The sequence below is a fragment of the Homo sapiens genome, chromosome 7 (genome assembly GCF_000001405.40).
Source record: "Homo sapiens chromosome 7, GRCh38.p14 Primary Assembly".
NCBI lineage: Eukaryota > Metazoa > Chordata > Mammalia > Primates > Hominidae > Homo > Homo sapiens.
Genome location: NC_000007.14, coordinates 139,118,970 through 139,131,599, shown reverse-complemented (window position 1 = coordinate 139,131,599; position 12,630 = coordinate 139,118,970). Strand labels below are relative to the sequence as shown.

Genomic DNA, 12,630 nt, shown 5'->3' with positions numbered 1-12,630 from the left:
TTGAATAACGTTGAGTGTGGTTCAAGTTTAGCAATGCTTCCACAGAATGAGGGATGAAAACAGTAAGGGGAGTTTTAAACAATTTCTTTTCTCTCAGAGTGTAAGGAGAAAAGGAAAGGCCCCTTTAAGTTCCATGGAGCACCCCCATTCTTTATTATCTGACTCCACCTGTTGTTCTTTCCTTTTTAGTTTTTGGCAGTTCGTTTTAATGTGATCAGGCTTTTTGCATTAATTGAAAGTGTATGGTTAAGTCTATTTGCGGATTTATAAGGATATCTTGAAGGTCCAAATTGTGTGGACATTTGTTTCGACTGTAAAATCATAATTTTATTAGCCTTGCTCTTTTGTTTGGCCTCCTTCTCAGATTTGTCTTCAGTTATGAGACAACTGGGCAGCAAGACTGACCAAATTATGATTTTGAGAAGTGGCCCAGCGAGGGTTTTGTCTTTTCATTATTAGTGCTAATTCTTCATCTAACCTATTTATAAAACTGGAGTTGAGAAGAATATCATTTTGATTATTAGCTTAGCTTTCTTCAGATAAACCCGAATATTGTTTAAGTTTACTCACACCTCTCAAAATATGATATTACTGACTCATCTGGATTTTGTTGACCTTGTTGTATTTTACTACAGTCAACTACTCTTAGAAACAGTGAGGAGTGGCTTGAAGCAATGCCTTTGCAGTTTTGTGTGTCTGCCTACAGTCCTGAGCATTTATGAAAGTCTTCTAAGAGATTTCTATAATGGGCCTTGTCTGTCTAATCTTTTTTTTTTTCTTTATACTTTAAGTTCTAGGGTACATGTGCACAACGTGCAGGTTTGTTACATATATATACATGCGCCATGTTGGTGTGCTGCACCCATTAACTCATCATTTACATTAGGTATATCTCCTAATGCTATCCCTCCCCCCTCCCCCCACCCCATGACAGGCCCCAGTGTGTGATGTTCCCCTTCCTGTGTCCAAGTGTTCTCATTGTGTCATAGCGTTCTCACTGTGTCATAGTGTTCAGTTCCCACCTATGAGTGAGAACATGCAGTGTTTGGTTTTTTGTCCTTGCGATAGTTTGCTGATAATGCTGGTTTCCAGATTCATCCATGTCCCTACAAAGGACATGAACTCATCCTTTTTTATGGCTGCATTGTATTCCATGGTATATATGTGCCACATTTTCTTAAACCAGTCTATCATTGATGGACATTTGGGTTGGTTCCAAGTCTTTGCTATTGTGAATAGTGCCACAATAAACATACGTGTGCATGTGTCTTTATAGTAGCATGATTTATAATCCTTTGGGTACATACCCAGTAATGAGATGGCTGGGTCAAATGGTATTTCTAGTTCTAGATCCTTGAGGAATCGTCACACTGTCTTCCACAATGGTTGAACTAGTTTACAGTCCCACCAACAGTGTAAAAGTGTTCCTATTTCTCCACATCCTCTCCAGCACCTGTTGTTTCCTGACTTTTTAATGATTGCCATTCTAACTGGTGTGAGATGGTATCTCATTGTGGTTTTGATTTGCATTTCTCTGATGGCCAGTGATGATGAGCATTTTTTTCATGTGTGTGTTGGCTGCATAAATGTCTTCTTTTGAGAAGTGTCTGTTCATATCGTTCGCCCACTTTTTGATGGGGTTGTTTGTTTTTTTCTTGTAAATTTGTTTGAGTTCTTTGTAGATTCTGGATATTAGCCCTTTGTCAGATGAGTAGATTGCAAAAATTTTCTCCCATTCTATAGGTTGCCTGTTCACTCTGATGGTAGTTTCTTTTGCTGTGTAGAAGCTCTTTAGTTTAATTAGATCCCATTTGTCAATTTTGGCTTTTGTTGCCATTGCTTTTGGTGTTTTAGACATGAAGTCCTTGCCCATGCCTGTGTCCTGAATGGTATTGCCTAGGTTTTCTTCTAGGGTTTTTATGGTTTTAGGTCTAACATTTAAGTCTTTAATCCATTTTGAATTAATTTTTGTATAAGGTGTAAGGAAGGGATCCAGTTTCAGCTTTCTACATATGGCTAGCCAGTTTTCCCAGCACCATTCATTAAATAGGGAATCCTTTCCCCATTTCTTGTTTTTGTCAGGTTTGTCAAAGATCAGATGGTTGTAGATGTGTGGTATTATTTCTGAGGGCTCTGTTCTGTTCCATTGGTCTATATCTCCGTTTTGGTACCAGTACCATCCTGTTTTGGTTACTGTAGCCTTGTGGTATAGTTTGAAGTCAGGTAGCATGATGCCTCCAGCTTTGTTCTTTTGGCTTAGGATTGTCTTGGCAATGCGGGCCCTTTTTTGGTTCCATATGAACTTTAAAATAGTTTTTTCCAATTCTGTGAAGAAAGTCATTGGTAGCTTGATGGGAATGGCATTGAATCTATAAATTACCTTGGGCAGTATGGCCATTTTCACGATATTGATTCTTCCTGTCCATGAGCATGGAATGTTCTTCCATTTGTTTGTGTCCTCTTTTATTTCGTTGAGCAGTGGTTTGTAGTTCTCCTTGAAGAGGTCCTTCGCATCCATTATAAGTTGGATTCCTAGGTATTTAATTCTCTTTGAAGCAATTGTGAATGGGAGTTCACTCATGATTTGGCTCTCTGTCTGCTATTGGTGTATAAGAATGCTTGTGATTTTTGCACATTGATTTTGTGTCCTGAGACTTTTCTGAAGTTGCTTATCAGCTTAAGGAGATTTTGGGTTGAGATGATGGGGTTTTCTAAATATACAATCATGTCATCTGCAAACAGGGACAATTTGTGTCTGTCTAATCTTTAGCTTTACTTTCTGATAGTCACATGTGAGTTAGTTGATATAAATCAGAATAACCAGGGCCATAAGCTCAGATATTTAATTCAAATTCCCTAGCAAAACAAATAGGATCCTGGTTAAGGTCGGGGAATTATTTAACTATGCCTTTAAGTTCTACCTTAGACCATGGTTGATAAACTAAAGCAGGTTTCCCTCTACCAGATGCTGGATGTTCATTAAATGAAGCCAAAAATGTGGGAGCAGGTGGAAGGGGAGGAGAGGGAAGAGAAGGTCAGTCTGGGCAAGGTAGTTGTGATAAGGAGGGATAGAGAGAAGGGGGAGCAGAAGGAGGAGAAGCAGCAGTTTCAGCAGCTTTTCTGAATAAAAGTTTTAGAGGCTTTTCATTCTCTTTCTATAGGAAAAGAACTCTGTCACAGCCTCTTTTGCATGCTTCTGGGTAGCATTGGAAATAACTCTCCAAATTATATTGTTTAATTCTGGAGCTGGCTTTTTCTAATTGTGCATGTGAGCAAACTAACTTAGGCATTTCACAAGTACCCTACTTTGGCCACTGTAATTCAGGGTCTTCTTGGGTCAAGTAAGACCATTTTTCCCAATACTGACAGGAGGTAGCAGGTGCGATGGCTCACACCTGTAATCTCAGCACTTTGGCAGGTTGAAGCAGGAGGATCACTTGAGCTCAGGAGTTTGAGATGAGCCTGGATGATGTAGTGAGACTGTCTCTATAAAAACTGAAAAAATTAGCCCAGCATGGGGGTGTGCCTGTGGTGCCAGCTACTCGGGAGGCTGAGGTGGGAGGATTGTTTGAGCCCCGGAGGTGGAGGTTGCAGTAAGCCGAGATCGTACTACTGCACTCCATCCTGGATGACAGAGTGAGACCCTGCCTCATAAAACATACAGACACACATACACACATATTTATGTATGTAGGTTGTTAGGTTGTGTGTATATATATACAGGAGGTGGCACTGTAAGTCTTGTACATAAATTTAGCTGGAGTTTCTAAAAGTGGGTCCTCCCTTAAAGAGGACTTTGTTTTAGATGAACAGTTGTCCATAATTTGTATCCTCTTTTAAATTGACCAAAGATTGAAAGGGAAAGACGTTTTGGGTCTAGTGTGCTGCTTAATAGTTTTTACTCCTCAAGGTTTCACCCATGAGTCACCTCTCCCCTCTTATGTGTCCCAATGAAACCCAGAAATTTCTGGGGGTTTTAGGTACTGGGAGCCCAACCCCTTATGTGTGCCCACCGAGTTAAGCAGATTTCCCTGCATATTCTTCTTTGAGATTTCCCTAGAGCATAGTTACACATCCCAAGCTATGGACTCTGACATTCTTACATGACCTCAATCACCTAAGGTGCTTTTCTTCTGGGAGGAACAAGGTCTTTTGTATTTGGGACTTATGTCCTCATATGAACCCTGTTTATAAATTTTTGGTCACTCAAGAATTAAACTTAAATGTCAATTTTTACTGAGCTCCAAAACCTGGGTCACCAACCTGGGTCCAATCAATTTTTTTTTTTTTTTGAGTCATAGTCTCACTCAGTTACCCAGGCTGGAGCGCAGTGGCATGATCTGGGCCCACTGCAACCTCCATCTCCTGGGCTTAAGCAATTCTCCTGCCTCAGCCTCCCAAGTATCTAAGATTACAGGCACATGCCACCATGCCTGGCTAATTTTTGTGTTTTTAGTAGAGATGGGGTTTTGCCATGTTGGCCAGGCTGGTTTCAAACTCCTGGCTTCAAGTGATCCACTTGCCTCAGCCTCTCAAGTGCTGGGATTACAGGTGTGAGCCACTGGGCCTGGCCTAAAACCACAAATTTACCTAAAGCCACATACATTCACTTTCTCTTTTCAGAGAGAGAACCTATTTTGTCCTCTGACCAAATTCGAATGACCGAAAGGGCCATACAAAGTGTAGCAAGTAGTTCAACAAACAAACCTTAACCTCAAAGAAAAGTGAATGTCATAAATCTGTGAAAGACAAAATAAGCAAACAAAACTTCTATCTTAAAGTACAGCTTCAATTCCAGCTCTGTGGAGCATAGAACTGGATCGCTTGTGTAAAGTGTGAATCTCAGTCAAAGCCAGGGAGATTCAAAACCTGAGAGGAAGCCTTGCCAGAGCCCCCTGCCAGTTCCAATGAGGTGGGATGAGCAAAAGCCGCTCCTGTAGACACCAAAGCTCCGAATGTCAGCAAAGAGGCACAGATCTCAGGAGGCCCGCTTAGAGTCTCTGGATCATCAAAATGTCAATCTAATATAATCAAACAGCTCAGGATCCAGTTAAAAGAGTTTATTCAAGTGCAAAGTGTGAGAGTGGCCATCAGGTAAACACAGACACCAAAGAAAGAATGGTGATCAGTGCTCCGCGATGTAGGGAAAGGTGAAGGTGGTATATGTAGGCAACCACAAGTGTGTTGCACAGAATTACAGCATATTACAGCATTTTCTTTTCTTTTCTTTCTTTCTTTTTTTTTTTTTTGAGACGGAGTCTGGCTCTGTCGCCCAGGCTGGAGTGCAGTGGCACCATCTCGGCTCACTGCAAGCTCCACCTCCGGGTTTCACGCCATTCTCCTGCCTCAGCTTCCCAAGTAGCTGGGACTACAGGTGCCTGCCTGGCTAATTTGTGTGTGTGTGTGTGTGTGTGTGTGTGTGTGTGTGTGTGTGTGTGTGTGTTTAGTAGAGACGGGGTTTCACTGTGTTAGCCAGGATGGTCTCGATCTCCTGACCTCGTGATGCACCTGCCTCGGCCTCCTAAAGTGCTGGGATTACAGGCGTGAGCCACCGCGCCCGGCCAGCATTTTCTATATAAGGCTAATATACACAGAAGATTTAATTCACTACTGTTGTTTACACTCTAAGGGGGTTGTTTAACATTTTGTTGTAAAGAGGTAACAATCACAAGAGTCTCCGTCTCCAACGTCATTTAGTCTAGGTTTGAATAAAGAATAGAGAGGCTGGTTAATGTATAACATCAACAAAAAGATCAGGAAGCAACAGTCATGCACCAGAGAAGAAAAACAGCCGTGTTACATGACTTGGTTTCCAGGGCTTGACTTTTCCCTTTGGCATAATAAATTTGGAAGGTCCTGAAATTTTCTTTCTTTTTTTTTTTTCACAGTAACAAGTTGGGCAAAATGAGGTAATTCTCCTGAGCGAATTTAAGTAATTGTGCATTGTTGAGTTACATTACATACCCTCCTGAATAACTAGCCTATGGAGATTCAAGTATACCATGAGCTCATGGAAGGCAGGTCTGATTTTTTTTTTTTTTTTTTTTTTTTGAGATGGAGTCTCACTCTGTCACCCAGGCTGGAGTGCAGTAGTACAATTTCAGCTCACTGCAGCCTCTGCCTCCCAGGTTCAAGCCATTCTCCTGCCTCAGCCTCCAGAGTAGCCAGGATTACAGGCATGTGCCACCACACCCAGCTAATTTTTTGTATTTTTTGTATTTTTAGTAGAGATGGGATTTCACCATGTTGGCCAGGCTGGTCTGGAACTCCTGACCTCAAGTGATCCGCCTGCCTCTGCCTCCCAAAGTGCTGGGATTACAGGCATGAGCAACTGTGCCTGGCCAGGTAGGTATGATTTCTTAGATTCTATTGCATACTCCTCATGCTCTGGCAACCCGCCACCACACCCCCCACTGTCCCTGTCACCCCACTGCAATCACTTGGTGAGTAAATGAATGACTAGATATCTTACTTCACTGATTATATATATAGAAAAACATCGATATACAGAGATACATAAAGACAGCTACATGTGTAGATTTCAGATAAGCACAAATTCACCAGTAGTGTACTTATAATTCTTTTGGTTCCAAATTTCAGAATTATCCCTATGTTTGGTTGAATTTAAAACAAAAATTATTTCTAGCTCCTCTTTACAGCAGAATGTTCTTGTAGGGGAGTGAAAAATGACTTCCCTCTACTCTTCTAAGTTCCTTGGCTGGGCTATGAATTAAACTGACATAAGACAGATTAACAAGAGGAAATCCATTTTTAATTATGTACATACCCATGCAAGCCCACAAAATATGAGATTCAAAGAAGGGTCAGATGATTGAAGCTTATATAGCACCCTGAGGTACAGAAGGGAATAGAGGCTTTGGACTTCTGCGTGGGTGGTGGTGACACCAGTTATGAGAATATGAGGGGAGGAAGTGTATGGTGAACAAAGGTTTCTTGTTATGCAAATGAGAAGCCTCTCAAGTAATAAAGGTTCTCTTGGAGCAGCCCTCAGAAGAAGAGGTGGCTGTCTAGGCATGATGTCAACCTCCAGTCTCCCCCTCTCTGATCTAAGTTCATTGTCCCTGGTTGATAAGGTTCCAGGGGAGGGGATTCATGACAATTGAGTTCCTTTTGGAGGATCCCTTGATCTGTCTTAGGCAGATAAGCAGATCTCAGAGAAAGTCTCTGCCTGCATCTGTTTTTCCCCAAGTGACATCAGTTCAAAGTAATGAGCATGTCAAATCATCATAGTTTGGGGTGGCATTTCTGAACTCCCATTGTGTATTTTTGGTGATAGCTTGATATATCATTCAAATTACCATAAAACCCACACTTTTAAAGTGTGAGTGGCTTTTAGTATATTCACAGTGTGCATCCATTATCACTATTGAATTCCAGGACACTGTTATCGCCCCAGAAAGAAACCCCACACCCGTCCGCAATCACTCATTGTTTCTCCCCTCCTCCCAGCCTCTGGCAACTACTAATCTCTTTATTGTCATTATAGATTTGTCTATTCTGGACATTTAATATAAATGAAATCATACATGTGGAGGTCCATATACCATATAGCTAAATGCTGGAAAATTTTAAATCAGCTTAGCAAACTGTTCAATAAAATGTTTTATCCTCCTACCTTGACAAATATACTATTATGAAGAAGGTCAGGCTCCAATTTAGAATTCTCGGACTTCTCAAAATTCTGTTGTGGATGTGGCAATGCAAAGAGATCCAGCCACAACCCTCAGCCCACAACCCATCTCTTCTCACTCCAGGTTCTCTCTACCCACACTATGTAGGGCTTTGTGCATGTGTGTGGACACCCAGCCCACAAATTCAAGCTGTAGTCACCCAACTCATCTGTGATCTGTCATTTCCTAATAGACCTATAGGGAGAACAGACCCCAGGAAGAGACCTGCTCAGGTGTGGAAACAGGCTTGGGGTTGCATCAGCGGGGGATTCAGAGTCCTGGGCACCACAGCATGGTCAGGAGAGGTGCAATGACCCCTTAACTCCATGGACTTTTCATACCTGGCTTAGGATGTGGCCACAGTACAGAGCCCAGAGCAGGGGCTTCTCTTGCCAGGGTCTGAAGGGTTGATGATACTATAAACAACCCTGCTGAATTTCCTAAATCAATTGAAATGACCACTGACTTCCAACAGTTAGGTATAGCTTTAAATCTCTAAATCCTGGTAGAGGCTGTTTGAACTGTAGCTGTAGTTATGAAGGGCAGAATATGACACTGAGTGTACTTGAGAAGAAGTTATTATTCCGAACTACGGCTCTAATGGTATTATGAAACATATAACATAGGCACACAAAACCTGGTTGCATAGGTAACAGGCAAAGTTGGAACTTGCAATTTCATTGCAGCTGCAATGGAGCAGTGGATTCTGAGGGACTGTAAAACATAATCCAGGTTTTGATGATTGTATGACAATAAAAATTTATTAAAAAGCATTGAATTGGCCAGGCGCAGTGGCTCATGCCTGTAATCCCAGCACTTTTGGAGGCCGAGGTGGGTGGATCACAAGGTCAGGAGTTCAAGACCAGCCTGACCCACATAGTGAAACCCCGTCTCTACTAAAAATACAAAAATTAGCCTGGTATGATGGTGTGCACCTGTAATCCCAGCTACTCAGGAGGCTGAGGCAGGAAAATCACTTGAACCTGGGAGGTGGAGGTTGCAGTGAGCTGAGATCATGCCACTGCACTCCAGCCTGGGCAACAGAGTGAGACTCTGTCTCAAAAAAAAAAAAAAAAAAAGCATTGAATTATACACTTTGAATAGGTGAATTGTATAGTACTGTAAACAAAAAATAAAATTCTAAGCCCCCACCCCACCCCGACAAGCATCTGAATGGATGCCTCCTCTCAACCAAGGGCATTCCAAAGTTAATCTGAAAAACTAGTTCAGGCCATGATGGGACGGGGGAGCTGGACATTCCTCATTATATCCTCCTTGCTTTTGGAATTACGGATAGAATAGACTCTTTAAATCTGATAAGAAACATTTATTATCTATTCTCTCGGAAGCCTGCTACCTGGAGGTTTCATGTGCATGATAAAACCTCAGTCTCTACAACCCGTTATTGTAAACCAGACATTCCTTTCTATTGATAATAACTCTTTGAACCAGCTGCCAATCAGAAAATCTTTGAATTTGCCTATGTCTTGGAAGCCCCTATTTATAATTGTCCCGCCTTTCCAGACCCAACCGATGTATAGTTTACCTGTATTGATTGATACCTTATGTCTCCCTAAAATATATAAAACCAAGCTGTAGCCTGACCACCTTGGGCTCATGTTCTCAGGATCTCCCAAGGGCTGTGTTACAGGCCATTGGTCACTCATATATGGCTCAGAATAAATCTCTTCAATTATTTTACAGAGTTTGACTCTTTTTGTTAACAGTAAGTAAATTGTGTCTTGCTAAATCTGGTTTTGTTTGTTTGTTTATTTTAAAGATAATCCAGCCCAGAGCTTAGAGTGCTGCTCTGGAGTCTATGTTTCTCCAATTCAGCCTTGATACACAGTGATGCTGACCCTAGGTCCTTAGAAATCACTGTAGAAATCATGTCTCTGTCATTGACCGGGGCCATGAGTTGCTGAAGGTATGCCAAGGCACTAAGTTTTGGCATTTCCTGCTAGGGTTGATTTTCCTTAAGGAAAAAAAATCTCATGAAAAGAAGAATCCTCCACTCTCTGCTACAGAGCCACAGTAAATCTATTCATTGGCTCTGTTTGAGGGCTATCAGTTTTTTCTTTTTTTGTTTGCTAGGTTTACAAATATTCTGCCTTGCCAAAAAAACAAAAGAATGTTTTGTTTTTTCTTAATAGAGATTGTTCCTTCTGAAAAAAGAGAAGGCTTTAAAAACCATATTTTGGCTGGGTACAGTGGCTTACACCTATAATCCCAGCACTTCAAGAGGCCAGAGGTGGGAAGATTGCTTGAGCTTAGGAGTTCAAGAACCAGCCTGGGCAACATAGTGAGACCCCAGCTCTATGAAAAATAAAAAATTAGCTTGGTGCGGTGGTGTGCACCTATAGTCCTAGCTACTCTGGAGGCTGAGGTGGGAGAATCCCTGAGCCCTGTTCAAGGCAGTAGAGAACTATAATCACACCACTACACTCCAGCCTGGATGACAGAGCAAGCCCCTGTCTCAAAAATAAAGCCCAAATTTTTTTTTGCTCCCTCTTAGTGAACTATATGAAATCATGGGGAAAGGATTACTGATGGCTTGTTCCAAGCAAGAACAAGAATGACTCCTGGACCAAGCATTTGAAAATATACTCCTTAAAGAAATACATTTTTTTCAAGCCAGGTGAGGTGGCATGCACTTGTAGTCCCAGCTATGCAGGAAGCTGAGGCAGGAGCATCCCTTGAGCCCCGGAGTTCGAGGCTATAGTACACTATAATCATGCCTGTGAACAATGACTGCACTCCAGTCTGGGCAACATAGTGAGATCCCCTCTCTAAAAAAAAGAAAAAAGAAAAAAAGACATTTTTTTTTTTGAGACGGAGTCTCACTCTGTCACCCAGGCTGGAGTGCAGTGGCGCAATCTTGGCTCACTGCAACCTCCGCCTCCTGAGTTCATGCCATTCTCCTGCCTCAGCCTCCTAAGTAGCTGGGATTACAGGTGCCCGCCACCATGCTCAGCTAATTTTTGTATTTTCAGTAGAGACAGGGTTTCACCATGTTAGTCAGGCTGGTCTCAAACCCCCTACCTAGTGATCTACCCGCCTTGGCCTCCCAAAGTGCTGAGATTACAGGTGTGAGCCACCGCGCCTGGCCGAAAAAAAGACATTTTTTCAATCATTTTAAAATAGCATTTTCTCTTATTACAAAAGTACTTCATATTCACTGTGGAAATTTGGGAAGGTACTGAGAAGTAAAATCAAGAAAATGTAAATCATCTATAAAATTTATACCCAAGAAACAACACTTATTAACATTTTGGTGCTTTTTAAAAAACGATTTAATAAGTACTAAGGGATAACCATGTTGTGGCTCAACTATGAGTACGTTGGCAGACCGAGACAGCTACAGGTGATAATTGTTGAAGCTATATGATGAGTACATGGGCATTTATTGTACTATTCTATTTTTGTGTAGAAATTTTCTGTAATCTAAAATTAAAAAGAAATTTGAGAACTCCCAAATTCTTCTTTATGGCCGAAGTTTAACTGAAATGAGTTAAAGATATGGGAGTCAATATTTATTTCAATATAAAAGGTAAATTACCTTTTTTTCTTTTTCTTTTTTTTTTTTTTTTTTTTTTTTTTTTGAGACAGGGTCTTGCTCTGTCACCCAGGCTAGAGTGCAATAGTGCAACCATGGCTCACTGTAGCCTCAACCTCCTGGGCTCAATTGATCCTCCCACCTCAGCCTCCCTAGTAGATAGAACCACAGGCATGTGCCAGCATGCCTGGCTAATTTTTTAATTTTTTTTGTAGAGATGAGGTTTCCCTATGTTGCCTAGACTGGGCTCAATCTCCTGGCCCAAACAATCCTCCTGCCTCAGCCTCTCAGAGTGCTGGGATTACAGGCCTGAGCCACTATGTCCTTCCTGGTAACTTATCTTCATAGCAGTTAAAACGAAGTAGCTTTGTTGGGCTGGGCACAGTGGCTCACGCCTGCAATCCCAGCACTTGGGACACTGAGGTGGGCAGATCACTTAAGGCCAGGAGTTCGAGACCAGCCTGGCCAACATGGTGAAACCCCATCTCTACTAAAAATACAAAAATTAGCTGGGCGTGGTGATGTGTGCTTGTAATCGCAGCTACTCAGGAGGCTGAGGCAGGAGAATCACTTGAGCCCGGGAGGTAGAGGTTGCAGTGAGCTGAGATTGCACCACTGTGCTCCAGTCTGGGTGACAGAGACCCCATCTCAAAAACAAACAAAAACAAAAAAAACTAAGTGGCTTTGTGTGAGAATGCTATAAAAATAATTTTCAGCTTGTAATTGCTAGTGTAACCGTTTATTTGGCAGAAAGATAATTGAGAAATCAGAAAGCAATATAAACATAAAAGGATGCTAATGGGAAAATATCAGGTGTTCCAATGCAGGGAGCCCTGTAAGGAGGGCCCCTCTATGTCAGCTAGCTGCTGAGGTGCCAGACCCTGTTGTGTTACATGGTTCACTTCCTCCTCTAGTGCTGAAGGCAGCTGCTAGCAAGAACTGAAGGTGACATAGGGTTGTATGCCTTGGAGTCAGCAAGACCCAGATTTGAATCCTGCCTCTGCTGCTTCCGATGTGTGCTAACCTGAGTTTCAGTGTTCTCCTCTGTAAGTCGAGGTAATTAAACTTACCTCACTGATTTTCTTAAGACTCACCAGATACATAAGCATGAAGCAGTATAATGTAAGCAATCAACATTCTTATCTCTTTCAGTTCCTGCTGAGTGGCTTCGCTGGGTGGTTCTGGCGCAGAGTCTCGGTGAGGTCACAGTTAATTGGGGCTGCAGTCATGTGATGCCTTGAGTGGGGCTGAAAGCTCCCCTTCCCACTGGCTCACCCACATGCTGGGCAGGTTAGTGCTGGCCATTGGTGGGAGGGTTTAGTTACTTGCCACATGGACTCCTCTCTAGGGCTGCTTGTGTGTCCACCCAACGTAACAGTTGGC

General features: G+C 42.1%; 1 annotated feature.

The window, feature by feature from the left end:
- Positions 6,283-6,577: a silencer, noted in NCBI's record as "tiled region #4033; K562 Repressive DNase matched - State 2:TssF". NCBI's record gives its function as "represses a minimal TATA promoter and a strong SV40 promoter by Sharpr-MPRA in K562 cells {active_cell/tissue: K562}" and the evidence as "EXISTENCE:reporter gene assay evidence [ECO:0000049][PMID:27701403]".